We start from the raw sequence: 27,711 nt of genomic DNA on the forward strand, positions 1-27,711 counted from the left end.
TTGTCATGTACTCAGAAAATAAAACATACTTGTTTCTTGATCATCTGGCAGAATAATTTGATCTTCATAAACTTGATAAAAGGTTGTGATTCTGGTACCATCAGCATGATCCACTATCCGAGTACCATCTTTCCTTTCAACTATGACAACTTTGTCTTCTCGAGTTGTCATAACCTGAACATGAAGAGGCAGGACATAATCATTTGGCCACATGGTTCATCCCAAGTGTACTTATTTTTATCCATTGAATACGAAGATGGCACCATCAAAGTCCTAGTTATTTATTTATAGGCAAAGTTTTATCTCATCTACCTGATCTAACCTTCATAACAATCTTGGCAGGTACCCTCATTTTATAGATGAGGAAATGTAGGCTTAGAGAAGTTGAGAAGCTTGCTGAAAGTCATGCAGCAAGTAAGTATCAGGGCATATTTGAGGAAACACTTAACATCTGGACTGGGTTAACCCAGGTCTGTCTGGAAAAATGACCACAGGCCCTGTTTCCTTGGAAACTACGGAGTAATGATAAATGCGGCATATTGTGGCTGCCTTGTGTGCTGTGAAACCTCTGCTCTGCAGAACTTCCCCAGATGGGGTGAACTGCAAGATGGCCTGCAAGTGTCGGGCTAATGTCATCAGAGCAGTACTTGAAGATTGGTAGGGGACAGAGGCTGTAGCCTCTCTATGTCAAGTTGACCTGTGCATGTATCTGCTGCTCAGTGCCGCTGCATGCCTGTGAGCTTGAGGGGTATGAGAAGCGGTGTGCGTGGGTTGCTGCTCCTGAGCTCTGCACTGGGTTAACCATGGCTCTGTTGTGTTTGCCTCATAGTTCAGCTTTTACCTCTGCCCATTACTGCTTTCTCCCTCCTCCTTTCACATATATGTCTCTATTAAAATCTTGCACTTGGGACTTCACCTCAGTGTTTGCTTCTGGAAAGCTCAACCTGCAACTGCAGTACTGTAAATTGCATAATGCATATTTCAATCATTGGGCATTTTCTAAACTTACACTATTCTAACTCTAAGGAACATAATGTTTCACTGAAGGTCTGGATGGACGTGAGAGTGAGTTTGCTAGCTGTTTTCTGACTCCAAAGTTCATGGCTATTGGGAGCAGGTGATTTTCACCTGTTTAGCTCTTTATGGTAGGTGGCAGTCACTACTTAAGAGAGAAATGAATGCCGATCATTATTTTAGGTTCTTATCATTGGTGCTTTCAGCCAGGAATGTATACTAAGAAATACTGCTGTGTAATGTGGTGGTTGAGAGCATGAGCTCTGGGGTTAAGCTGAGTTTGAATCCCGACTCCGCAAATGGCTGGGTAGACTTAGGGATGTTGCTTAACCTGTTTGTTGTCTGGTTTACTCATCCACAAAATGGAGCCAACACTAGTATCTTCTTGGAAATGTTATGTGGGTTAAACGAGATGATGCTGGTAAAGTGCGTCACACTTGGCCATCATGTTAGTAATTATTGATAGCGGTTTTTTATCTAGTAGAGATATTTACATATTATGATTTAGAATTATTGAAACATTTCGTAACGCCACATAAACAGTGACATTTTCTGGTCACCATAGAATAGGATAATCATTCTTAGTGGTGGCAATAACACAGTAACAAGGATATTTCTGAATGCCTGTTAGTGCCAGGTCTGGTACTAATCTTCTCAACAGGTAATGACTATTATCTCCAGTTTATGAATAAGAAACCAGATGAGAAACTTGCCAAAAGTTATACATCTGGTAAGGACTATGGCTAGGGCTTGAAACACAGGTCTGCCTCACCCCAAGGGCAGTGCTCATTCCTTTAGAATGTAATATTTCATGTCATTTTCAATTTTGTTTCATATGCCAGTTTCTTGAGATCTGGGACACAGTGTTGAGGTCTACATTCTGGCTCTACCATTTGCTGTGTGACCTTGGGCAAATTACTTAACCTCTCTGTAGCTTAGTTGCCTCATCTATAAAATGGAAACAATAGTAGTTTGTTGTGAGAATTGAGTGAGTTAGTATATGGAAAATGCAGAGAACAGGGCCTAGTACACAGTGAGTGCTCAGTAAATATCACTATTATTGCTCTTATTCTGTTGGGCATTTGGTGTTTTTAATTCATGCTTGAATCCAGGTTCTTGGATGCTGGTTCATGCTTCCAAAATGGTGATAGAGATGAATGAGGGAAATTAAAAGTTAACAAAGAAATGTTAATCAAACTTGCATATTAAGCCAAATAATCTACCTCAGGGGCCGAATTAAAGTGAGTTACTTGAAGGAACAAAAACAAACATTAAAAAACCTCGGGAAACAAATGAACAAAAAACCTTTCTGAGATCATATGTACTTTGAGTCTTACAAAAAAAGGCAACTAGCAAACAAAGTAAGAGATTATAAAATTATTTCAGAAGTAGGCTGAAGAGGAAAAAATATTTGGTTAGATCATGTAATCCATCTTAATAGCAAGCTGGCATTTTGCTTTTTACAGCAGCACATGGTTTTAAACAAGGGTAGGAAGTTCACACACAAGAGTTAAGGCACTTAGGAACGTCTTCATTTTGTTTAGATTCAGAGGGTGCTGCAAATCTCCATATAAGATGTTAAAGGAATAGCTAAGGAATGGAAAGAGCTCAGTTTTTGGTCACAAACAACTGGCTCTAATCCTGGCTTCAGCACTTTCTGAACATGTACTCTTGATCACATTACTTAACTTCCTAAGGCTCAATTTCTCATCTGTGTAATACACATTTGGTGTGAGGGCTGAATGAGATAATGTGTATAAAAGTCCCCAAAGAAATCCTGGTAGATAGAGGGCCGGGCGTGGTGGTTCATGTTTGTAATTCCAGCACTTTAGGAGGCTGAGGCGGGCCGATCACCTGAAGTCAGGAGTTGGAGGCTAGCTTGGCCAACATGGCAAAACCCTGTCTCTACTAAAAATACAAAAATTAGCCGGGCGTGGTGGCAGGTGCCTGTTATCCCAGCTACATGGGAGGCTGAGGCAGGAGAATTGCTTGAACTAGGAGGTGGAGGTTGCAGTGAGCTTGCACTCCAGCCTGGGCGACAACAGCAAACCTCTGTGTCAAAAAAAAAAAAAAAAAAAATCCTGGCACACAGAAAGTGCTATTGTTCATTCCAGGAGTTTTGCTTTCATATAATAAACAGAACCATTATGTTCTGTACCACTAATTTGTCATGTATTCTTATGCTACAAATAAAGTTTTTGTAAAGTTTCTCTAGAGTTTTGGATTCTTGAGTTATTTAATGTGTGTCTTATCTCTTTCAATATACCATAAGTTTTTCCAAATCAAAGGATCATGAACAAACTCCTTTCACCAACTGCAAGTGGGCACAAATAAGTAGTAATGAGACACTCACTTCCAGAAGCCTCTCACTTCCAGAAGATAAGACATTTTACACACATACATTCAGCATAAGGAAGCACACGACGACATCATTAATCACATATATCTTAAAAATGGCATAGAGAACTCATGAACTGCCGCTCACCTCAAAAATTAGCATTTTGTTCTGACGTGGTTGTGCCCACAACACACAAAAATAGTCCCTAATGATACTCTCCATTTGGCAAATACACCACAAGATGTTTTTAGATTTTGGAAAATGAATCCAATCATCCATCCATCCACCCATCCATCCATCCACTACTTAACAGACATTTATTGAAAAAATATTATCAGCTAGGCACTCTTTTGGGTGTTGTTTCAGAATACTAATGACTTAGAAAATTTTGCAATAAACAATAGTTTGTCATACCGTTCCATTGACAGGATCTGTGGCCTGAAAGGATAACAATGGGGTCAAGTCTGCTATTCTTTCTAATCCTTTGGTGCCGATCCGATTTCCTTCAGGTGTGGTTGTAAACCAGGTGCCTATGTGAACCTCCACAGGAGTTACAGTTTGAACTGCCTCTGGAGGAGGGTCATGGATTTCACCCTTATGGGCCATTGATGACTGACTTTTGTGACTTTTTCCTGTGAAGTTCAAGTAAAATCAAACAACAACAATATAACTATAGTATCAATTATATACATCATTCACTATGTTTTGACACAGTACAAACTACCTCAGATACTGTGGCATAGACAATTCTAAGTGGTATTCATCAATTATATTATTTCTCAATAGGGAAAAGTATCAGGTTATGAATAGCGTAATTTTAGCACTTAAACCATGGCTAAATTCCCACCACTTTCCCCCAGACATACACATGCTTACACAGCTCACTGTCTAGGGCACAAAAAATATTCTGGTCAACTTCTGTACTCTTTTGGGTCTTGCATACTTCTCTCTGGGTCCCAGATTTTGGGTTTTGTATTCTGGTTTTTAAAGCCTACCTTTGCTCTCACTTATCTGTCAAACTTTCAGCCTCCTTTTGACATATTGGACTATAACAGTTACTAAATTTTTAACTCTTGATTCCCCTGATTTTGCCCTTTTGTCAGTAATAACAGGAAACATCTTTCTTCAACCCTGGATCTGGGAAACCTCACCAGCCACGCATATCCCTGGGGAGAGGAGTTTGTGCAGTTTAATTAGTACATCAACAATTGTCTGATACATTTTCCTCTCCATCCTTTACCTCCCACTCATTTGGAACAGGAGGAGAGAACTGAAGACACCCTCATGGAAATCCTTGACCAATATTTCAGTTGCTCTATCAGGGTAGACATACTCCATTTCCATGAATAATAATGAGTAATCTGTAGATGAGACTTGACAGTGTTATCACATCTCAATGATGAGGTAAACTCAGACCCTGAAACAAATTGCAAGTAATGATAGTAAAGGAATGTTAACTCTTGGAAGATTCTCCAGATTCAGACCATGAAATGTGCAGCAGGGCATGCATCTCGGCCTAACTGATAGGGACTCAACTAATGGGAAGAACCAAAGGCAGATAAATCAGGTTGAGCCTTTTCATTGCCCTAAAATTTGATTTGGACATATTTATACTTCTAGAATATTAGTAGAGAGTGAAAATGGTATCGCTTTCAGAATAATTCCTCTAGAAATAGTAGGAAGTACTTTAGGAATTATCTTTTTTTCTATATTCTCCCTTTTTCTCCTATTTCCCTCCCCTCTCCTTCTGTTCTTGTTACTTTTTCTAATCAAAAAAGGTGAGCTATGGAAAGGGCATTCCAACATAAGGAACATAAGAAATACAATGGGGTAAAGAATAGCATGGTATACACAGACAACTACTAGCAGACCAGTGTGACCAGATGATACATTTCAAGCAGATTTTGGTTGAGTGAAGGGACAGGAGAGGCAGGCACTGATTCAATTGAGGGGACTTTAGCAGTACGTTAGAGACCTTGGAATTTTTCCTACAGGTGATATTTAATAACTAAAGTGTTATAAGAGAGAAAGTGAGGTATTTGGAAGATTAGTTACATGCTTTTGGCAGGAAGATGCAAAATCAATACTAATAAAAGCAGGAAGAACAGTTAGAAGGTTTTAAAGTATTAGAAATTCAAGTTGGCAGAAGAGATAAACAGGTACAATTTTGATACAAATGTATATTGGGGAACAAATTTGGATATGAAAGGATGAGGATGGCAGTGAAAGGATAAGAGAAAGAATCACATGCAGATCCTGAAATCTTAATCATCTATTTTCTTCCATTAAGTATATGGGTCAACAAAGCAAACTGGCCAAGGATCAGCTCAAAGGTAAGAGGAAGGAAACAAGCAGGGTTGGAGTTCCATTTTCAGCAACATCACAGACTAGATACCAATAATTCCACTGAAAAGAACCATAACTGCTAGAAAACATCTTTAAATCAGTCTTCTTGAAAGTGTCTCTGAGCTGGCAACTATAAGTAAGATCAGCACAAGCCATGGACTAAGTAAATGTAGGAAGCCAAAGAGGTAAAATAGCTCTGAAGTTGGATTTTGTCCAGTGGGTTTTTGTCAAACTGTGTGATTCTGAGTATTTGTTTTCTTAGCATTGTGGGACTTAGGCAGAAATGAATGCCAGAACCTGCACAATCTGGATGGAAGGTTTGATATGAGGCCCTCAAATGACTACACTCTCAGACTAAGTGTGGATTATTAACAGAAATCATTCGTGTCCTTTCCCACCCCACTCTAGAACTGTCAGAAAGCTTGCCTGTGTTCAAACTTGGTGCTGAGCAGAGAAAACAAGAAAGTACTTAAGAGGTTGTATAACCACAAGTAGATCCTTATATAGGTTTGAAGTGAAAATTCATACCACTTGAGTGGCACCCCCAGAAATTCCTTAAATTAATAATTTAAAGTGATCCAAGACTGTTGGTTCCCCTATCAACTGCTAAAGTCCTTTCTGAAGCCAAAGTCCTTTATAAAGAAATGCACTATTGGCCAGGCACAGTGGCTCACACCTATAATCTTAGCATTTTGGGAGGCCAAGGTAGGAGGATTGCTTAAGCCCAAGAGTTTGAGACTAGCCTGGCCAACATAGTGACACTTCACTGCTACAAAAAAAAAAAAAAAATTGCTGAGCATGGTGGTGCATGCCTGTTGCATGGTGATGCAAGCCAACTTTTCAACAGCAACACTGGAAGCAAAAGAATATAAAGGATATTGTCAATGTACTGAGAGAAAATATCTGTAAGCTAGAATTCTATACCTAGTGAAATTATCTTTCAAGAATGAAGACAACATAAAGACATTTTAAGAAAATATTTGGTATATAATAAACGGACTAAAACATCTAAAGACAAGTCCCAGCTACTCTAGTGGCTGAGATGGGAGGATTTCTTGGGCCCAGGAGGTTAGGCTGCAGTGAGCTGTGATCATGCCACCACACTCCAGCCTGGGTGACAGAGTGAGACCATGTCTCAAAAAAAAAAAAAAAAAATGCACTTTTATACCAGCTCAAGAATTTAGAATTAAAGCAATAAGAAAAAATTATCATCTCATAGTCAAAAAGTACCGAGACACAATGAAACAAGGCAATTCAAGTGAGAGCCAGAAGAAGCAACAGAAAATGGAATTAGATCTATAATACTTTAGATATTGAAATGATCAGACACAGAATCTAAAATGCATACTTTATGTGATTCCAGAAATAAAAAGGGGCCAAAAATATGACTAAAAAGAAGACAGATTATAAAACAAAACAAAGAAGTGTTAGATATTAAAAAATGTAATAACTGAAATTTAAAAAATTAACATGCAGATTTAGCAGGAGACAAAACACAGCTTAAAAGAGAACTGAAAGACCTAAAGTAATTGTTTAGAATGAAGCTCAGAGAACCAAAGCATAGAAGTAAAAAAAAAATAAATAAAAGTTCAAGGCCTCTTAAATATGTTTAACTGGAATTCCAGAAGCAGAGAAGAAAAAAGAAATGGATCAGAAACAATATTTGAAGAGATAATTATTGAGAAATCTCTAGAATCAATGAAAAACACAAATTTACAGATTCAGGAAGCTCAATGTATTCCCACTTTGATAAATGAAAAGAAATCCATACCTAGTCAAATTTATTGAAATTGTAATAAAAAATCACAGGGAATATTTTAAAGACCGTTAGATTATCCTCAAAGCAACAACAACTTAAATGATAGCCAACTTTTCAACAGCAACATTGGAAGCAAGAGAGTATAAAGGATATTTTCAATGTACTGAGAGAAAATATCTATAAGCTAGAATTATATACCTCGTGAAATTATCTTTCAAGAATGAGGACAACATAAAGACATTTTTAGAAATTATTTGATATGCAATAAATGGACTGAAACCCCTAAAGACAAACGTTTTCAAATTGAATTATTAAAATATTCACCTATTTGCTGCTTATAAGAGACACATTTAAACATAAACCACAGAAGGTGAAATATAAGTGTGGAAAAAGTTATACCGGTAAGGTATTAAATAGTAGCTGGGGTAGCTATAATAAAATAAGCAAAATAGACATTAGGGTAAAAAGAATCCTAGAATAAAGAGTCATTGCAGGCCAGGCGCAGTGGCTTCCAGCACTCTGGGGGGCCAAGGCAAGCGGATCACTTTAGGTCAGGAGTTCAAGACCAGCCTGGCCAACATGGTGAAACCCTGTCTCTACTAAAAATACAAAACACAACAAAACAAAAATTAGCCAGCTTTGATGGCACGTGCCTGTAATCCCAGCCACTTGGGAGGCTGAGGCACGAGAATTGCTTGAATGTGGGAAGTGGAGGTTGCAGTGAGCTGAGATCACGCCATTGGCACTCCAGCCTGGGCAACAGAGTGACACTGTGTCTCAAGAAAAAAAAAAAAGAAAGAAAGAAAGGAAGTCATTGCATAATGATGAAAGGTTAAATTAGTGAAGATAGATACAATAATTCTAAATGTATGAATATCTATCATCATATCCTTAAAATATATAAAGAAAAATGACAGAACTATAAAAAAGACATATTTATTTCACAAATTAAGAAATAATGATTAAATTATAAGGAACGCAGCACCAAAGAGATTATTCTAGCTTTTCAGGAGATTTAAACATCCTTTTGCTAAGTAAATTGATGTAGTAGATTAAAAAAATCTGTAAAAATATAGAATAGGGGTTGGCAAATTGTGGACTATGGACAAATAAGGCCTGCTGTCTGTTTTTTACAGTCGGTGAAGTAGTAATTCTTTTTACATTTCTAAATAGCTAATAGAATCAAAAGAATAGTAATAATTTATAACATGAAAATTATATAAAATTCAAATTTAGTATATTTAGTGCATATAAAGTTTTATTAGAACACAGGCTTATTTAATAACATATTGCCCATGGCTGTTTTTATGCTCCAATGGCAGAGTTGAGTAGTTGTGACAGTGACCATATGGCCCACAAAGTCTAAAATAAACTTTTTCAGAACTTTGAAAATTAACCAAAGAATTGTAACAATCTGAGGAACAATTCAAGAAAAATGGCTGAATCTCAGCAGGAACAGTTGCTTTGTGGTTTTATAACTTAAAAAGTTTTTGATAAAATATTATCTATAATATTTCATTTAGTTGATGTAATATCAATTAAATTAATATCAATTAAACTGTGATAAAAAGAAATGAGCTATCAAGCCATAAAAAGACAGGGAGGAATCTTAAATGCATATTACTAAGTGAAAGAACCTGGTCTAGAAAGGCTACATAAGGTATGATTCTAATCATATGACATTCTGGAAAAGGTAAAACTATACAGACAATAAAAAGGTCAGTGGTTCCCAGGTGTTTGGTGGGGTAGTGTGTGTGTGGTTCAGGATGGGTGGAATAAGAAGGGTGAATAGGTGAAGAGGGATTTTTAGGTTGGCAAAATTATTCTGTATGATACATGAGACATAGAATGTACAACACCAAGAGTGAACCCTAATGTAAACTATGGGCTTTAGTTAATAATAATGTAAGATTGGTTCATCAGTTGTTACAAATATACAACACTAAAGCAAGATGTTAATAATTGGGGAAACTGTGAGCAGAGTAAACAGGAACTCTGTGCACTTTCCACTCAATTTTTCTGTAAACCTAAAACTGCTCTAAAAATAGTCTATTAATTTAAAAAGTGAGTGCATCATCTTGGATGGAAGGGCTGTGAAGAAATCTGGGGGACACTGTGCTAGAAGCAGAAGTCCTCCAGAACCAGGGTAGGCTCTTAGAAAAATGGCTACACAGACTAGTCTTATATCAAGTCCTCTGTATCAACAAAAGAGGGAACCCTTGAGCCGAGAAATTTGGAAAGCTATCTGGATACTTCTCTAACCAGAAACCTTCTGCTACTACTCAAGGAAAATCTGTTTTACTAAATATTGAGTAATTAAAAAGTAATCTAGTTGCTTCCACACAATATTTCTGGGTACTGTGGTGAGATGTGTGAAACTGACAAAAAAGGAGTAAATCCAGGTTTCTAGATTTAAATCTAGATCATTAAAGGCATATGAGAAATTGAGAAAAGTTTGTAAGGCAGGAGAGGCAGCGTAATTTAGGGGTTAGGGACCCAGACTCAAATCTCAGCTCTACCACTTGCTAGCTAAGAGACCTCAAGGAAATTACTTAACTTCTCTCCCTCAATTTTCTCATTTGTAAATTGGGGATTATTAAAATATATGCCTCACAGAGGATTAGCTGATTTAATATTTGAAATATCAGATTTTTTTCCTGTTACACAAATATACACCTCCTATATAAAAATATATCTTACAAATTAAGATGAAAATGATGACCATCACAATGGTAAACCAAGAAAAGACATGAATAGGAAATTCACAAAATGAAACAAAACAAACAGGAAACATCTTTAGATGTTTAACCTCACCAGCAATTAAAGAAATGCAAATCAACATAATAAGATGCATTGATTATCATGTTGAATAAGATTAAAAGAATGATAATATCTGGCATTGGTGAGGGTATGAGGAAGTAGACATTTTCATGTGGTAGTGGTAGGGGTATACATTGAAAACACTTCTCAGGACAGCAGTCTTGCAATTTAGATTATGGCAGACACTGTTCATTGCTTATCCAAGTATTGTTCACCTTCTTTTTTCCCTGCTAGTAGTGCTGTCTCCTGAGATAGAGGCCAAAAATGTCAGATACTTGTTTTTCTAATCTTGGTCCCCAGCCAGGTCTAGTCAATGACATAAAGACAGGTCTGCTGGGGTGACAGGTGGAGTTCTGGAACTCCTTTTGCTTCCTGATGAACAGAGACACTTGAAGAAAGCTCTTGCATTTATTTGCCATCTTTTCTTGGAAGTTGCTGAATGAGGACCTCATGCCTGGAGTTGATATACCTTCTTGCAATTATGAGGAAAAGTTCAAGAGAATCACAGAGATGCCTATTCATAATCTTGACATTACCAATCTGCCCAGTCAACCCTAAAACAGCAGCTTAGGCATTATACCTGATGTGCAAGAATGTATAACAACATATGAAACTGTTAATTATTTATTACTAAGAGAAAAACAGTTCATGAAACAGTACGTAATTCTGTGATAGCAAGAATTCATTTATATGTATGTATGTATAAGAATATATAAATATATTTGTAGAAGAGGTTGCAAGTATTATAATAATAATAATATTGAACACTTATTAAGCCCTTGAAGGCTTTACTAAATCCATAATAAACTGAGAGGCTTCAATTGTTACCTTTCTTTGTGTTGGTAATCTCAGATGGTATCGTTTCTGATTTCTGCTGAGAAATAGAGTCCATCAAATCTCCACTGTGAGGCGTTGCTGGCATTTCAGAAGGAGGACAAATAAGACCTGAATTGGGACTCCTGCTCACAGCACCATCTGCAAAGAGAATCTGAAGAATGAACAAAAGTTTTCAGCATTCTCAGAAGCAAGAGAGAGGTTGTTTAACAATAAACGCTGTGTGTCAAATGGAAATAGCTTCAAAATGATCCACAGAAGAAATGCTGTTTGCAGACCTCCAGACCCAGCAGCACAAAGTAGATTATAGAAAGGTAGATTTGGAGTTCAGAGACAATAGCCTAGTTACCACCATAATAATATTATTTTCTATTTTCTATTTACCTTTTATTTTGTTTCTTTTCTTTTTATTTCCATCTTTTCTTGGATTGATTTGAGTTTTATTTTTTCCATTCTTCACCTTTCTCCTTTGCGATTGGGAAATTATATACTCTATTTCAATTTTTCTAACAACTGTATTTAAAATTTTATCACATATTTAAATTTGTAGTTTCTATTAATATCTATCTAGTTTGTACAGTGTCTCTAGGTACCACAGATATGTCTACCTGCTGTTGGTACCTAGACACTCCCAACAAACATGACAAGGACCAACGTCACTGTTGCTGATGAGAAGTCAAATGTCTATCTGGTTTTTATTCTTGTATAGGTAACTTGTTTCCTTCAGGAAACTTTTGGGATTGTCTATCTGTGCAGTCCTAAAATTGCATGATGGCATATTTAGGTAATCCTTTAAAGATAATTAATATCAGTTCTTATTATCATTCGGTTGCCCTGTTTAATCTGAAGTATTTTTTTTAAGCTCTGTGCAAACTTCTTATGTTATGTCTTTGATTCTTTTCTCCCTTCATTCTTACTATTTTTTTCTTCTGGAAATTATATCATATGGACCCTTTTTCCATATCTCTCAGCTTTTCTCACCCTCAAAATCTACCCCTTCCCATTTTTGATCATTCACAATTATTTCTAATTTCTAAGAACTCTTGATATTTTTCCTTAGCGACTTTTTAAAAAGTTGTTATTTTATGAACTGTTAACCTCTCAGGTCTGCCTATATCACTTTTACCAACTTTTAATTTTTTAAAGTATTTAATTTCAGGTGCTATTTCTTTTAGATATTGAATTATGTACTTTACTTTTATGGGATTGCTTTCTTTCCAAGATTTATGATTCTTGAGTGCATGGTCATCTTTCTCATTGAGAATCCCTTTTACTTCTTGGTGGTGTAGTGTCTACTCACAGGAGCTCCTGTTTTGTGATCACTGGGGAAGGAAAGAGCAGGGCATATGGCTTCTGATTTTTAAGGTTTCTCGTTCCCATCCTCTGGGTGACAGTGAGTTACCTGGGGAACTACCCTCATTTTCTGAGCTCAGAGATCCATGTGCAAAATGTTTGTGTTAGAATTCCCATTTCGATGTTTAATTTTGCTGCATGTTTTCCTCTTGTGTATGTTTTAACTTTGTGCATATTTCTCCATCAGTTTGATCTCATCTGATCTGCATTTTAAAAGAAATTATCGAAATCTTCTGATCTATTATTGATGACATGCCTTGTTGTCCTCCAGTACCATTATGAATTCACTATTTAAATTTTTAAAATTAGTTTAAGATAGCTTGAGAGGGAGAAAAGGAAAAAACTGTTCAGTTTGCAATCTTACATCATGCAGAGAAATGACAAGTTTATTTGTATCCTGCTCTGCATATAGTGTTTTTTAATTCTAACTATATTATTTATCATTTGTCATTTGAAGGTGTCATTCCTTTTTCTAGTGAGTTGTTCCTTTTCCCTGTTATAGAACAGTTCCTTACCCATAAGTTGTCTTTTACTTTGGAACAGGGAAGAATAATTTCTCTAACACATTCTTTTACCTGTGTGGATCCATCCAACATATATTTGACAACAGTGCCTTGACTGGTGATAACCCTTGAAGCCTCCTGCTCTGCGGGTGGCATCACCGTTTTATAGAACTCATAGTGCTTCACCCTCTGGGGGTAGCTCTGACGGACCATGATGTCCCAGGTGGGTTCCTCATCTATAACATATTGACCTAAAAAAAGAATAAAGCCTTCTTGTGAACTGGACAATGCTGCAGGGCTGGATTTTATCATCTTGCTTAATTATTTTCTTTTTCTTTTCTTTTCTTTATTTTAAAAATAGAGACAAAGTCTCGCTTTGTCATCCAGGCTGGAGTGCAATGGTGCAATCATAGCTCACTGCAGCCTCAAACTCCTGGATTCAAGCCTTCTGAGCAGCTGGGACTACAGGCTTGCACCACAACACCCTGTTAAGTTTTTCTATTTTTTGTAGACAGAGGGTCTCATTATGTTGGCTAGGCGGGTCTCAAACTCCTGGCCTCAAGCGATCCTCCCACCTCAGCCTTCCAAAGTGCTGTGATTACAGGTGTGAGACACCATGCCTGGTGCTTAATTATTTTCTTTTGTCTGCATGTGAATAATAGGGCAGTTTCCATGTTATGACAGATGGTCTAGAATACTGGTTCTTTGATGACCTTGTTACATTCAAAGGTAGTAAATTAGGTCATCTACAACACCTAGTAGGTACCTTCTCCATGTGTAAGCCACTCTCTCTAATAAAATCCAGGACAAATTGAGGCAAAATTATGAAGGAAGCCGAGTTTTGCTGAATTAGGTGTTTCCTCTTCCTGCCCACTGGTGCCTATCTCTCATCTTTGACTAAACTTTCCACCCTGGATACACACGCTGCCCTGGTGTTTCCTGGTTGCCCATAGCCCCAGGGGAAGTCACCCCCTCAGGCTTGCCTTTCCTAAGTCATCTGTCATCTTTCAAAGTTAACGTTAAAATAATCCCCTCATCTCTAACCAAATCCAGATTTATCTAGCATTTTGCTGTTAGCTGGCAATCAAGGAGAAAAGCACCTAATAAGCTCCTTCAAAAGCAAGCACTATTATGGAGAAATTCTGGCATACCGTACCTAAGCAGGCTTTGCTAACTGAATAAATTCCTCTTAATTTATAATGTGGTTTATTGGGGCCAAAAAGCCTTAACACAAAGGAATTAACACATAATGATAGCATTTTAAGAACTATATATCAGGCTAGTGGGAAAATCATGGCACCCCTTAAATCACAGAAGTACTACTAATAATGATAAACCAATAAACATTTATTGAGATATTTCTATATGTTAAATGCTTTATATATGTATCTTTTATTGAGTCTGCCTTCACAATCCTTTAAAATAGGCACTTTAATTTTCCAGAGTTTTCAGATGAAGAAATAGAGGCTTGGAGAGGTTATTAACTTAGCAAGTTATAACTTTGGAAGACACTTAGTGACCATCCAGCACTAAGGACGCACAGCCAGTAAGTAAGAGAAGGAAGATTTGAATCATTTTCTTATATTACAAAAGCAACCACCATTAACAACCAAAAATAAAAAGTCACTCAGGAAAGGATTCAAGTCTAGGCTCTTTCCTCTTATGCTACGATAACTGTCTTTCCCTAAAGTCCAAGACTGACCCGATGAAGATATTGCTACTTTGGTATTTATGTTGTTATGTTCAGACTTGAATTAGGATTTTCATAGTATATGGAAGATTTTAAACAGATGAGCTATTATTAACTACATTGTCTACCCTAACATAAGGAGGAAAATATTAGGATAGATAATGAAACTAATAGAAAAGACAGGTGAAAGGGGTATTAAGCTGGGGTTTGATAACAGGATCAAACAATCAAAGAAATATATCCTTGAATTTGAAAGCAACATCTCTTTGAGTACACTCATAGCTCTTTGACTGGAAGACACTCAGTGAAGACTGTCTGAGTGGAAGACACCCAGTGAAGACATGCAGCACAGTGGGAAAACCTGGACCACTAGGGATGCTTGGGAAGGGAACAGGGTCCATGGGCTATTTTTAATAATTCAGAATGCCTAAGGAGAAGCGAAATTTAACTTCAACATTTAGTTTCTGCTTTTTTGCGGGGGAGGGAGCTGGGAAGTAAATAAAACATTAAATTATTTTTAAATAAGCATAGCGTTTTTCTTTGATACACTTTTCAAATGTGGTATACATAAGGGAATTATATAAAAGAGGATATTAAGTTGTGAAACTGTAAAGAATTGCTGATGTTATGTAATATTTATCAGATAAGAAAACATGACCCTGAGACCCTAAGTAACTTAAAAGGGACACATCATTCGTTGGTGTCAGGGTCAGCTTTAGAACTCAACTCCCACTTCAGTGCCTGCTTTGTTGCATCTTCTACTTCTACTGCAACAGTGAGTTTCTATTTAAATATATTCAAATTCAGTAACAAATGCAGATGCCTCATCAGGTTAATTAAAGAAATCTTACTTGTACTTATTTATTTAGCTGAAGAAGTTAGGAGCCATGTACAGAACCAACACTATAAAATTATATATAGATACATGAAAATGAAGCCTTGATTTTCTTAACCTATTTAATCTACATCTATCTCTATGTACTTTGTGTCCAGTGTCATTTGTTTTGGTCAGACCAGCAACATGCTGCACCCATGACCCTCTGTAGAGGCAAGAACACAGGGATACACACAAGTTTTTAAGAGCACTGGCTTTGTCATCACTGGGCTGAGAATGGCATTTCAGCTCTGCCACTTGGGAGTTGAGTGACCTTGGGCAAGTAACTGAACCTCCTGAAGCCTCGATTTCCTTATTTTGTAAAATGGAGTAGTTAGTATTTAGATCACAGTATTTGTATTTTTGACATATATACTAAGTACTTAGACAGTGCCTGGCCATAGTAAATGCTACAAATGTGAAAACAGTCTATTGTTCATTATCAACAAGATGTATGTTTAACTGGCATGAAAATACACAATTTCCTGTTTTCTACGTGACATTTTGCTCCCTGCTTCCCCACCCTACCCCATATAGCACTTACCTGTAGATTCTTGTCCAATGAAAGTCAACAGGAGCCCACTGGGGCAAGACACATTTAGGCTCTGGAAGGTGGGAACATCCAAAGTCTCTTGTAAAACAGGTTCTGGTTCTACTTCTTCTTCCTGTAAATAATTCAGCATGTGAATAATGGGCTGTCATTTTCTTAATGAGCTATTATTTATTTTGACTAAGCCAGGATATGCTGAGTGCTCAGGACATGACTTGCACAGAGCTAGGTGGCCCCTGCAAGGACGCAGGAGTCTCTGTGGTTTTGCAATTTATATTCTACTTGCAGACTGGCACATAGGTGAGACAAATGGCAGTAACAACAGTTGGCACATCTTTTCTCAGAAAATAGAGATATAGTGAAAGTTAATAAGAACAATTGGGAAAGGATTTGTGGAATAATTGGGGCTTGAAGTGGGCCTTGAAAGATGCCTCTGTTTGGATATGTAGGCATAAGGGCAGTGCTGGCATCTGAATGTTGGTGTCCCCCATCCAAACTCGTATGTTGGAACCTAATAACCAATGTGACAGTATTAAAGGTGGGGCAGTTTAGAAAGTGATTAAGTCATGAGGGCTCCACCCTTATGAATGGGATTAGTGCTTTTAAAGAAGAGGTTGATGGGAACACCTTTGCCTCTTCCTCTTCTGCCATGTGAGGACACATTGAAGGAACCATCTCTATGAGGAATAGCTGGGCATGGTGGTGTGTGGTTGCAATTTCAGCTACTTGAAAGAGTGAGTTGGGTAGATCACCTGAGGCAAGGAGTTAGAAACCAGCCAGGGTAACACAGTCAGACCCAGTCTCTTTAAAAATTAAAAGAATTGGCCAGGCATGATGGTACATGCCTGTGGTCCCAGCTACTTGGGATGCTGAGGTGGAATGACTGCTTGAGCCCAGGAGTTTGAGCCCACACTACCATACTCCAGCCTGAGTGACAGAGCAAGAAGTCCATCTTAAATAAAATAAAGTAAAATAAAATAAGAGAAACAGGCTCTTACCAGACATAAAATCTGCTAATATCTTGATATTGGACTTCACAGCCTCTTGAACTGTGAGCAATAAATTTTGATTGTTTATAAATCACCTAGTCTAAGGTATTTTTTTTATAGCAGTCCAAACTAATACAGAAAAAGTGTGTGAGAGACCAACATCTCCAACATATTTTTTGGTGTATTCTTACAATTTGGATGCTAGAGATATTATGTTATTAGGATATCTGTCCTTTGTTTTCTATAATGAGCACATACTGCTTTTGTAGCAAATGAAAGTAATAAAAATAAAAGACAATTATAAAGTTATTTATAAATTAATGAGGGTTTGGGTGTGTTTACTTTAAAATCCTAATTAATTTTATGTCAGCTATGCCTAAATCCCTTGTTTGGTTATATGTACTTAAGAATGAAATTTACTTGTTAACATTCAAACACTCCCTAATGATAATCATTTCAATTTTTCCAGTTGGTTCTCTTTTGTTAACCACCAAAATCACTCCACCGGTACCCAATTTGTGGATATTTGTTTTTTTCTAACTAGTCGTCTATTGTTGAACATTTAAGTTGTTCTGCCTTTTCTTTGTCACTAACAGAGGAAAAATACATAAATAATTAGCTAAAAATAAATTTAAAACACAAAGCAAAAATAAGAGAAAAATGCTTATGAAATTCTGTAAAATGAACAAAACTGCTCAAAGATGCAAACCTGCCACGTCAAATCTGTCAGCACACATAAAACTAGTATCATCCTCACCCTTCCATTATCATTTATTTTAAAAATGTTAAGTGAACAAATTGGTTTGCTAGCAAGATGCCTTTGGCCAAATTAATTTTAAATGAATTACCTGGAGTTATTCTGTTTTAACACTTGAACATTTTTACTTAACAAGAGTCAAGGGGCCTGGCATGAGAAATTTTATCTAGTATAACTATGTAAATGTGGTACAGAGGCAATGACATATTTAAACCTTGTAACTTTTACAAGGCCAGAGTCTGAAACCCAGGTTCTTGGGTATTTTTAAACATTTTATCTTCCAGTAGTTGATTATTTGTACACTGTACTTTTTTAGTAGTAAGTACCAATAGTCAAGACTTAACCAGTAGTTTCCTTGTTGCCGGTCTTTTAGAACCTTCTTTTTTTTTTTCCAAAACTATTTATTTTACTTTAAGTTCTGGGATACATGTGCAGAATGTGCAGGTTTGTTACATAGGTATATATGTACCATGGTGGCATGGTGGTTTGCTGCACCTATCAAGCCGACATCTATGTTTTAAGCCCTGCATGCATTAGGTATTTGTCCTAATGCTCTCCTGCTCCTTGCCCTTGACCCCCTGACAGGCCCCAGTGTGTGATGTTCCCCTCCCTGCGTCCATGTGTTCTCATTGTTCAACTCCCATTTATGAATGAGAACATGTGGTGTTTGGTTTTCTGTTCCTGTGTTAGTTTGCTGAGAATGATGGTTTCCAGCTTCATCCATGTCCCTGCAAAGGACATGAACTCATTCTTTTCTATGGCTGCATAGTATTCCATGGTGTATGTGTACCACATTTTCTTTATTCAGTCTATCATTGATGGGCATTTGAGTTGGTTCCAAGTCTTTGTTATTGTAAATAGTGCTACAATAAACATACGTGTGCATGTGTCTTTATAGTAGAATGATTTATAATCCTTTGGGTATATACTCAGTAATGAGATTGCTGGGTCAAATGGTATTTCTGGTTCTAGGTCCTTGAGGAATTGCAACACTGTTTTCCACAATGGTTGAACTAATGTACACTCCCACCAACAGTGGAAAAGCAGAACCATCTTTTGATCTTTGTTTTATTAGATCTTTGTTTAGAGTCAAAGTGTGTGTGTGTGTGTGTTTACTATGATGAAGGGCTAGGGGTAATAGGAGGACTACTCTTTTTTTTTTTTTTTTTTTTTTTTTGAGGACTACTCTTTAATCAGAGGTGGGCTGTTAGTCTTGTTAGATTCTTAGCACATCAATATCTAAGACCAACTTTACCAAATGAAACTGTTTCCATTGTTTGGTTAAATATATTTTTCTTCCATTTGTTATTTATCACAGTGGAGCTAAACAAAGTATTAAAAATAAGGAATGGCAGAAACTTGACCAACGAAAAGCAAAGAAAACCCAAGAAATAGAGTGGAAAAAAGGTTGAACTAAGTTTTTCCAAACTTAGAATGAATGACCTGAGACAACTTATGTATGACAATATGTCTCCTGGAGTGGTAACCCAACTTTTGGGTACAAATCCTTCTTGTCTATTCAAAGTTGAGACTACAAGGGACGTTAATGTATCTGCACAATAAAACGTATGCACTATAATAACACTATTGACATAAGTCATGGTTTTAAAAAAGTTAACACTGAAGCAGAAACAGAGTTTGGGAATCTATGGCAAGGTTCATTTACCTTTTTCTCTTCTTCTTTTGGGTGTTCTTCTTCTTTAAGGGATTCTTTGGGTTTTTCTTTGCCTTTTATTTTCCCTTTAGCTTTGCTTTGAGGAACGGTCACTATAACAGGAACCACTGTTGGAGTGAGTGCTGAAGGGATATTCAATATTGTTTCTAAATCAGGATCCTTATCTTCTATAAGCAGAAAAAGTAAAAATGAAGTTGATTCAACATTCATATTTGATATCCTTGTGAAATAACATTTACAACTCAAAAATTTACACAAGTTGACAACAATTTTTACCTTGCTAAATATGATTTATCAGTTGGATAGATTTCAGGAGTAATGAAGTTGGTTTACAAATCAGGATTGTAGTTAGAAAATTTGAGGTATTTATTACTTGGATATGCCTCACTGAATCACTATTTCTCATGTTCTTGCCTTCCCATCTACATTGTAAACTCCTTAATGATAGGGCATTAACTATATCTTAATTTATTTGAGAAATATTTGAGAGGCTCTTCTTATGTATAAAATGTTTAGAGCAGCAGAAAATAATGAAAAAAATGTGCAAAAGTCCTTATAGCATCAAAATAGTCTAAATAAGATCTGTGTAAATAACCAAACATAAAGACTACTAAATATAAATAAAATAAGTGGTACAAACAAGAAAATCCAGAAGAGAAACTTGTATGTGATACACTTGCTGGGTTTTAAGGGATTACCAGAATTCTAAAAGGAGAGCTCATGCTAGGAGTAATTATGTGGGGAGCTCTAAAGCATCCTGTGTGTCATGAATTTTATTTTCCTCTAGGTTCCAGAAAAACATTCTCTGAATCTCTTACCTCTAGTCATTTTTTTTCTCAATCTCCTCTACTTACTCTTTTGTCAGTCCCCTAAATGTTTTTATTTATTTTTATTTATTATTATTATTATTTTGAGACAGAGTGTCACTCTGTCACCCAGGCTGGAGTGCAGTGGTGCAACCTCGGCTCACTGCAACCTCCTCCCGGGTTCAAGTGATTCTTGTGCCTCGGCCTCCTGAGCAGCTGGGATTACAAGCACCTGCCACCACGCCTGGCTAATTTTTTTGTATTTTTAATAGACACGGGGTTTCACCATGTTGACCAAGCTGGTCTCGAACTCCTGACCTCAAGTGATCCGCCCACCTCGGCCTCCAAAGTGCTGGGATTACAGACATGAACCACCATTCTCAGCCAATCCCCTAAATGTTTTTAGGTTGCAGGGTTTATTATGTTCTCAATCCTCCTTGCCTGTAATAATTACTCATGAAATTAGAAAAACAACATGCTCGGGCCCCACCTTGACCTACTGAATCAGACTCATTGAAGATGAGGCCCAGGCATTTATATTTGTGAAACCCTACATGTGACTGTGATGCACAGCCAGGGCTGAGCAACTCTCTTACATATATTAGATCTGGATGATCTCATTCACCATTGGGGCTCCAATTGTCATCTACATGCTAATGACTCCAAAATTAACATCTCAAGGCATGACCTTCCTTCTCAGTTCCAGACCTATATTTCTCACTTTTTTAAGGCATCTCCTGGTTGTGGTGCTACAGACATTTCAAACTCAATTAAGTCTCTCTTCTCCCAAGCAGATTAAGCCTCCTACATTCTCAATTTCAGTTAATGCCATGAGCAATTATGCAGTCTGTTCCCCAAGTTAGACATTGAGATCATTTGCATTTACTTTTTTTGACTCATCCTACACATCCAACCAGCCATCAAGGCCTAAGATCTTCCTCCCAAATTATGCCTCTTCTATCTATTCCCATTGTCTTATTTCAGGGTCCCATAATTGCTTGCTGGGTCTTCTGCAGCGTTTTGCTAACTGATACCATAGCACTTCCAATACCACCACTTCAGTGTACTCTCCAAACTACCACTAAAATTATGCTCCTAAAGTAAAATATGATCATGTCACCTCCCTTACTTAAAGTCCTCTGCCACTCACTGCCTATGTAGGGCATATAACATTCTTCACAATCTGGTCTTCACCTACCTCCACTGCAGCCACACTGAACTTTTCACCTTTCTGTGAAGATGCCATGTTTTGACACAATTGTGTGTTTATTAACATGGTTCTTAAGTTCTAGAATTCCCTTTCCTTGTTTCTGTGCCTGGATAGTTCCACTCAGCTCTAAAGTCCCATCTGAAATGCTACAATTTCTCTCAAGTATGTGTTGACTGTCCCCAGTACTCTGTTTATGTATAATTTCCAGCACTAAGACAGATATTATTGCTCTATTTATGTTTTCCTTGTTCATTAGACAGTGAGTTCTTTGTGTAGATGTACCACGAATTAATTCATCTTAGTGGCTCAGTGCCAGCAAGTTGCTTGACCCACAGAAAGTACAGTATATAAACAAGTGAATGGCGTTCAGTTTCAGGCATCTGGAAATTCCCCTCCTCATCCCCATCCATTTACTAATATTCAGTAAATATTTATTGTGTACCTACTACTATGTACCATGAAATGGATAGCCAATGATGGATGAGACAGATAAGGAGGGTATAATTTAGTGGGTAGTTCAGATTAGAACCCGTCAGGTACAATGCTGTGTGTTCAGTCTGTGATAGAGGAAATACTGAGTGCCTTAGGAACCCAGAAGAAGGGTATCTACTGCAAAATGTCCTTGTACAGTCTACTGTGGCTATACTGAACACTTCACCTTTCCATAAATGGAAAAGCCTTTCTATGCTTTTACACTACTGGACTTTTACACATGCTATTCCTGGTAGCTAGAATTCCCTCCCTTCAATTTTTTGCATAGGCAATTCTCACTCACCTCCAAAGACTCAGTTCACATGCTACTGCCACTTGCTCTGGGAAGCATTTCTCAGAGCAAGTAACACCTCTATGCTGTAGCTTGCAGAATGGGAGGGAGTTTAATTGTTGAAAGTAGTGGTGCACATGTCAGGAGAAAGTATTCTGAGTAGTGGTACAGCATGAGAAAATGGGCAGATGTAAGAGACAGCATAGTTTATTCAAGGAACTGAAAGGCACAGAAATAATAGGGTAGGAAGGTATACTTCTCTATGGGAAAATAGATGGGGTTCGTTGTCATCCAGGGTTTGGGTAAAGAATGTAAAACATAAGTTGGGGCCTGATTAAGATTAAGATTAAGATTCTTAATTTTAGGTATATTCAGTAGGCACCCTGAAAGGCAGTAAGAAGCAAGAATGACCTATTCCTCTTAGCAAGAAGGTACAAAGTAATGTCCAAAGATTTGATTGGGTTTCTTTATATTTTTGCCTATTTCATAGCTGTACTGTCTACTTTTTCTTTGTCCAAAAGGATACTAAATTATGTTTAGCTGTGCCTACCCAATTAAAGGGGGAGAACTGGAATGGAAACTTGTTAAGCCATTAGCAGAAAAAGTTCTTAAATATCAGTTATATATGAATCCTTAGGAAATGTGTGTGTATATACATACGCATATAATTTTTACAAAGACTTATACCTTCAACTTTTTAAAAAAACATATAGGATGTAAAATGTTACTTATTATCTACACTATAAACATTTTCAAATGCCATATTCATAACTTGAAATTAGGAACATCTGTTTAAAATGGACTGATTACATATTAATTTAAGGACTAAATCAAGATTAATAAAATCACTCAGGAGTAGGAGCAACAGAATTGATAGCAGGTATAAATATCTTAAGCCAAAATAATGATAACCTATATTAAGAAGAGGTAGGAATTTTTAGTGACTGGGTAGTGATAACGGATTTTAATATGTAATTCGTTAGGCATCAAATGACTTCTCCAGTTGCTGACTTAACAACAAATCAAAGGCAAAGGCAAAATTAAAACACAAAATCTCCAATAAAGCAAAAATACTAAGAAATCTAATGGACTCTCAAACTCAGTAGAGTACTAGGATATTTGACACAAGGTAAGAAATAAGATTATAATCATCCATTGAAAATTTATCTCTGCAAAAAAGAAACTATATAGAAAGACAGGTAATTGGATCACTATGATCTACTCTAACATAAAGTTTTAAGTTTATACATCATAGAGTTTATCCTTTGATTTTATAATGCTTTAAGAAAATATGTTGTGGTTAGATCCCTCTAAAATGCATGGGAAGCCACAGATTTCCCAATTGATTCTTCGTAAAGTGATATCCTATTTTGTGGTTTGTAAAGAAACAGCTTCCAGTTGGATAATTTATTTATTGAAAATGGGGTAGAAGGCCAGGTGCAGTGGTTCACGTTTGTAATCCCAGCACTTTGGGAGGCCAAGGTAGGAGGATCACTTGAGCACAGGAGTTTAAGACCAGCTTGGGAAACATAGTAAGACTTCATCTCTACCAAAAATAATTAGCCAGGTGTGGTGGCATGCACCTATAGTCCCAGTTACTCAGGAGCCTGAGGTGGGAGGATTGCTTGAGCTCAGGAGTTTGAGGCTGCTGTGAGGCATGATTGTGCCACTGCACTCCAGCCTAAGTGACAGAGCAAGATCCTGTCTCAGAAAAAGAAAGAAAGAAAGAAAGAAGGAAAGAAGGAAAGAAGGAAGGAAGGAAGTGGGGTACAGAAATCTTTCAATATGTCCACTGAATAGCTCCTTTAAGGCTAACGTCCTGAAGCACACTGAACCGTTCTATAATAACAGGATTCACAAAGAAAACCAAGAGGATTCCTTGGCAATTTATGCTTTCTTTTACACCCAACCAAAAGGCTCATTTTTATGGGGTAGTTAACAAGGATAACTGGTATATATGTGTGTATATACATGTATACATACATGTATATATATAATCACACAAGTAATCTTATATGTATAAGTGATTATATAAAAGATTATATAAAATGTCAAAGCATTTTTATTTTGTATCTATGTATAAAAGATTATATATATATATACTGTATACACACATATATAGACACACACACACACACACACACACCTCTTCTATTACCATCCTGCAGGAAAAACAATGAGGAGCATTAAATCATAACATGTTATTGACAAGTGAGCAGACTGAGAATGGGCAGTGGCAGGGACCCTTGGCTGTGGGGCACACTTATCCTTGCTGTTGTGTTCATTTCACCTGGTGCCATTCCATTTGATCCATAGTAACTTATCGAGAGGCAGATTCCATTTTCTAAGGTGGCAGAAAAAGATCCAAACTTGCTGAAAGCTTTATTCTTTGCATCTGATACTTCTAAAATACAAAATCGAATCAAGAACATTTTCATTTAATTCAAAATAAATATAACTAAGACTCAGTGGGAAGGCTGGGAATGGAGTTCATAGCTGCTCTACCACAATCAACTTAAAAAATAATTGGTTTAGCTTGACCATGCACTCAGGGTTGTTAGAGGTAGGGTGGAATTACAAAGACAAGAATATGAAACTCTTGTTTTAGGGACCTTAGGTTAAAGTGAAGAGAGGAAATCAATCGGTTGATGGCATATCCATAAGCAGATTATTCATCTGGTAGGTCATCCACATGGCTTTTAAAATTAAAACCATCAGTTCAGTTTCAGTTTCCCCACATTTTAAAACATTTTCTTAAATTCCCACACTTAAACTTTTTTACATTTTAAAACATTTAAAAGTTTAAAGAATTTAAAAATTGTTTCAGTCAAAACATAATTTTAAAACAAAATTGTTAAGGCACTTTTTTTTCTTTTCTCAATTTTTAGGTTTAGGGGGTACCTGTGCAGGTTTGTTACATGGGTAAATTGCATGTCACTGGGGTTTGGTGTACAGACACTTTCATCACCCAGTTAGTGAGCATAGTACCTGATAGGTAGTTTTTTGATCCTTACCCTTCTCCCAACCTTCCCTCTTAAATAGGCCCCACTGTCTGTCATTCCCATCTTTATGCCCATGTTTACTCAGTGTTTAAATCCACTTATTAGTGAGAAAATGCAGCATTTGTTTTTCTGTTCCTGTGTTAGTTCGCTTAGGATAATGGCCTCCGCTGCATCCATGTGCTGCAAAGTATATGTTTTAGTTTTTCGTGGCTGCATAACATTCCGTAGTGTGTATGTACCACATTTTCTTTATCCAGTCCACCACTAATGAGCAACTAGGTTGATTCCATTTCTTTGCTATCATGAATAGAAAACACACATCTGAAGGTATATGTAAAGAATTTGTGAATTTTCTGACTTGTTTTATTTTCAGTTCACCATTTTCTCTATTATCAGATAATAAAGATGGGGCAATATTGATTTAAAATAATGTAACTCATGCAAAGATAATTTTTAGACTGGGAAATTCAAATGAACCATGGAACAAAAGGTAATGCTTTAAGAGAATAAAAAGAGAAGACACAGAGTTGAAGAAAATATCTGCAAAAGACATCTGTTAAAGGACTATTACTCAAAATGTATGAAGAATTCTTAAAGCTCAATAACCAGAAAATAAAAACCTGATTAAAAAATGGGCATGAAACTTCAACAGACACTTCACCAAGGAAGAGATACAAATGGCAAATAAGCATATGAAAAGATGTTCAATATTATTTGTTATCCAGAAAATGCAGATTAAAACAACAAGATACCACTAGACACCTTATAGAATGGAGAAAATCTAAAACAGAAAATAATGGTGAGGATATAGAGCAACAAGAACTTTCATTCATTACTGTGGGAATGCATAATGGTACAGCCAATTTGGAAGACGATTTGGTGGATTCTTCCAACATGAACATACTCTTACCCTATAATCCAAAAGTCACACTCCTTGGTGCTTACCCAAGGGAGTTGAAAACTTATGTCCACACACAAACCTGTACACGAATATTTGTAGCACCTTTATTCACAATTGCCAAAAGCTGGAGGCAACCAAGATGTCCTTCAGTAGGTGGGTGGGAAAATAAAATTGTGGTACATCTAGACAATGTAATATTATTTAGTTTTCAAAAGAAATAAGCTATCAAGCCATGAAAAGACACACAGGAAACTTAAATGCATATTACTAAATGAAAAAAGTCAATCTGAAAAGGCTACATAGTGTATAATTCCAACTACATGCTATTATGGAGAAAGCAAAAGTATGGACACAGTAAAAAGATCAGTGATTACCAGGGATTAGGAAGGAGGGAGAGATGAATAGACAGAGCACAGATTTTCAGGGCAGTGAAACTACTCTGTATGATAGTATAATGGTAGACACATGCCATTATACATTTGTTCAAACCCTTAGAATGCACAACACCAAGGGTAATGTAAACTTTAGACTCTGGGTGATAATGATATGTTAATGTAGGTTCATCAACTGTAACAAATGTACCGCTCTGGGTGAGGCATGTTAATAGTGGAAGAGGCTGGACATGTGTACGGGAAGAGGGCATTGAGAAATCTCTGTAACTTCTGTTCAATTTCATCATGAACCTAAAACTGCTATAAAAAATAAAGTCTGGTAAAGAAAAAAGATAACGCTTAATATCCATTAGGGTTCAGTTCAGGAAAATAGGCAACTTCATGCACTATTAATAAGAGAGTGTACTGGTAGAAACTTGAGAAAAAGAACATGCAATAAGCCATTCATTTAATGGAGTGGAGTGGACAGAGACAGGAGTATTAGTCAGAAGAAAGAAACCACTAAACAGCAGCTTACCCGTTTCAAGACTTTGTTCCTCATCTCCTTCTTCTTCCTCTTCTAAATAATAATCCCCTTTCTCTTCCTTTTTCACAATTTCCTTAGGGTCATTTAAATGAATCATAAAATTGTGGTTGTCCTTTACCACTCTCACTTTGATAAAAGTTGGGCCTGAGGAGGAACCATAGAATAGAAGATGGGCTGATTAGGATGCCACATTAAGCTCCTCGACAAGATGGTTACACAATGCTGCACAGAAACAAACACACGAACAGAAAACCAAACACTGCATGTTCTCACTTAGGAATGGCAGCTAAACATTGAGCACACATGAACACAAAGAAGAGAACAATAGACACCAGGGCTACTTGAGGGTGGGAGGAGGGTGAGGACCAAAAACTACCTGCCGAGTACTCTGTTTATTACCTAGGTGATAAAATAATATGCATACCAAAGCCCTGCGATACACAATTTACCTATAGAACCAACCTGAATAGATATCCCTGAAACGAAAATAAAAAGGCAGCATAGAATATAAAACCAGGGAGAGGAAATGCTTAGAGATGTCACCTCTATAAAAGAATGCCTAAGGAAATAAAGTAATGGTGGAATTCCAGGCATGAATGGCAGGTAGAC

The 27,711-nt window shown here is 36.9% G+C and overlaps 1 protein-coding gene across 15 annotated transcripts in view; it reads right to left on the bottom strand.

The window, feature by feature from the left end:
• Positions 1-27,711, bottom strand: part of SPAG17 (sperm associated antigen 17) — a 231,639-nt gene that overhangs the window by 58,609 nt on the left and 145,319 nt on the right. For 14 of the 15 annotated variants that reach the window (XR_946574.2, XM_006710427.4, XM_011540934.2 and 11 more), the window contains 8 exons: positions 27,094-27,246; positions 24,572-24,685; positions 19,494-19,669; positions 16,076-16,196; positions 13,040-13,218; positions 11,106-11,265; positions 3,767-3,984; positions 30-174 (listed from right to left, as the gene is read on the bottom strand). Coding sequence is in view for 14 of the 15 variants with exons in the window: in XM_006710427.4 (XP_006710490.1) it covers positions 30-174; positions 3,767-3,984; positions 11,106-11,265; positions 13,040-13,218; positions 16,076-16,196; positions 19,494-19,669; positions 24,572-24,685; positions 27,094-27,246 (1,266 nt within the window). In the remaining variant the exon portion in view is untranslated. The remainder of the gene's footprint in view (positions 1-29; positions 175-3,766; positions 3,985-11,105; positions 11,266-13,039; positions 13,219-16,075; positions 16,197-19,493; positions 19,670-24,571; positions 24,686-27,093; positions 27,247-27,711) is intronic. The other variant, XM_006710426.4, reaches the window with a different exon arrangement.

Source organism: Homo sapiens, chromosome 1 (genome assembly GCF_000001405.40).
Source record: "Homo sapiens chromosome 1, GRCh38.p14 Primary Assembly".
NCBI classification, from domain to species: domain Eukaryota; kingdom Metazoa; phylum Chordata; class Mammalia; order Primates; family Hominidae; genus Homo; species Homo sapiens.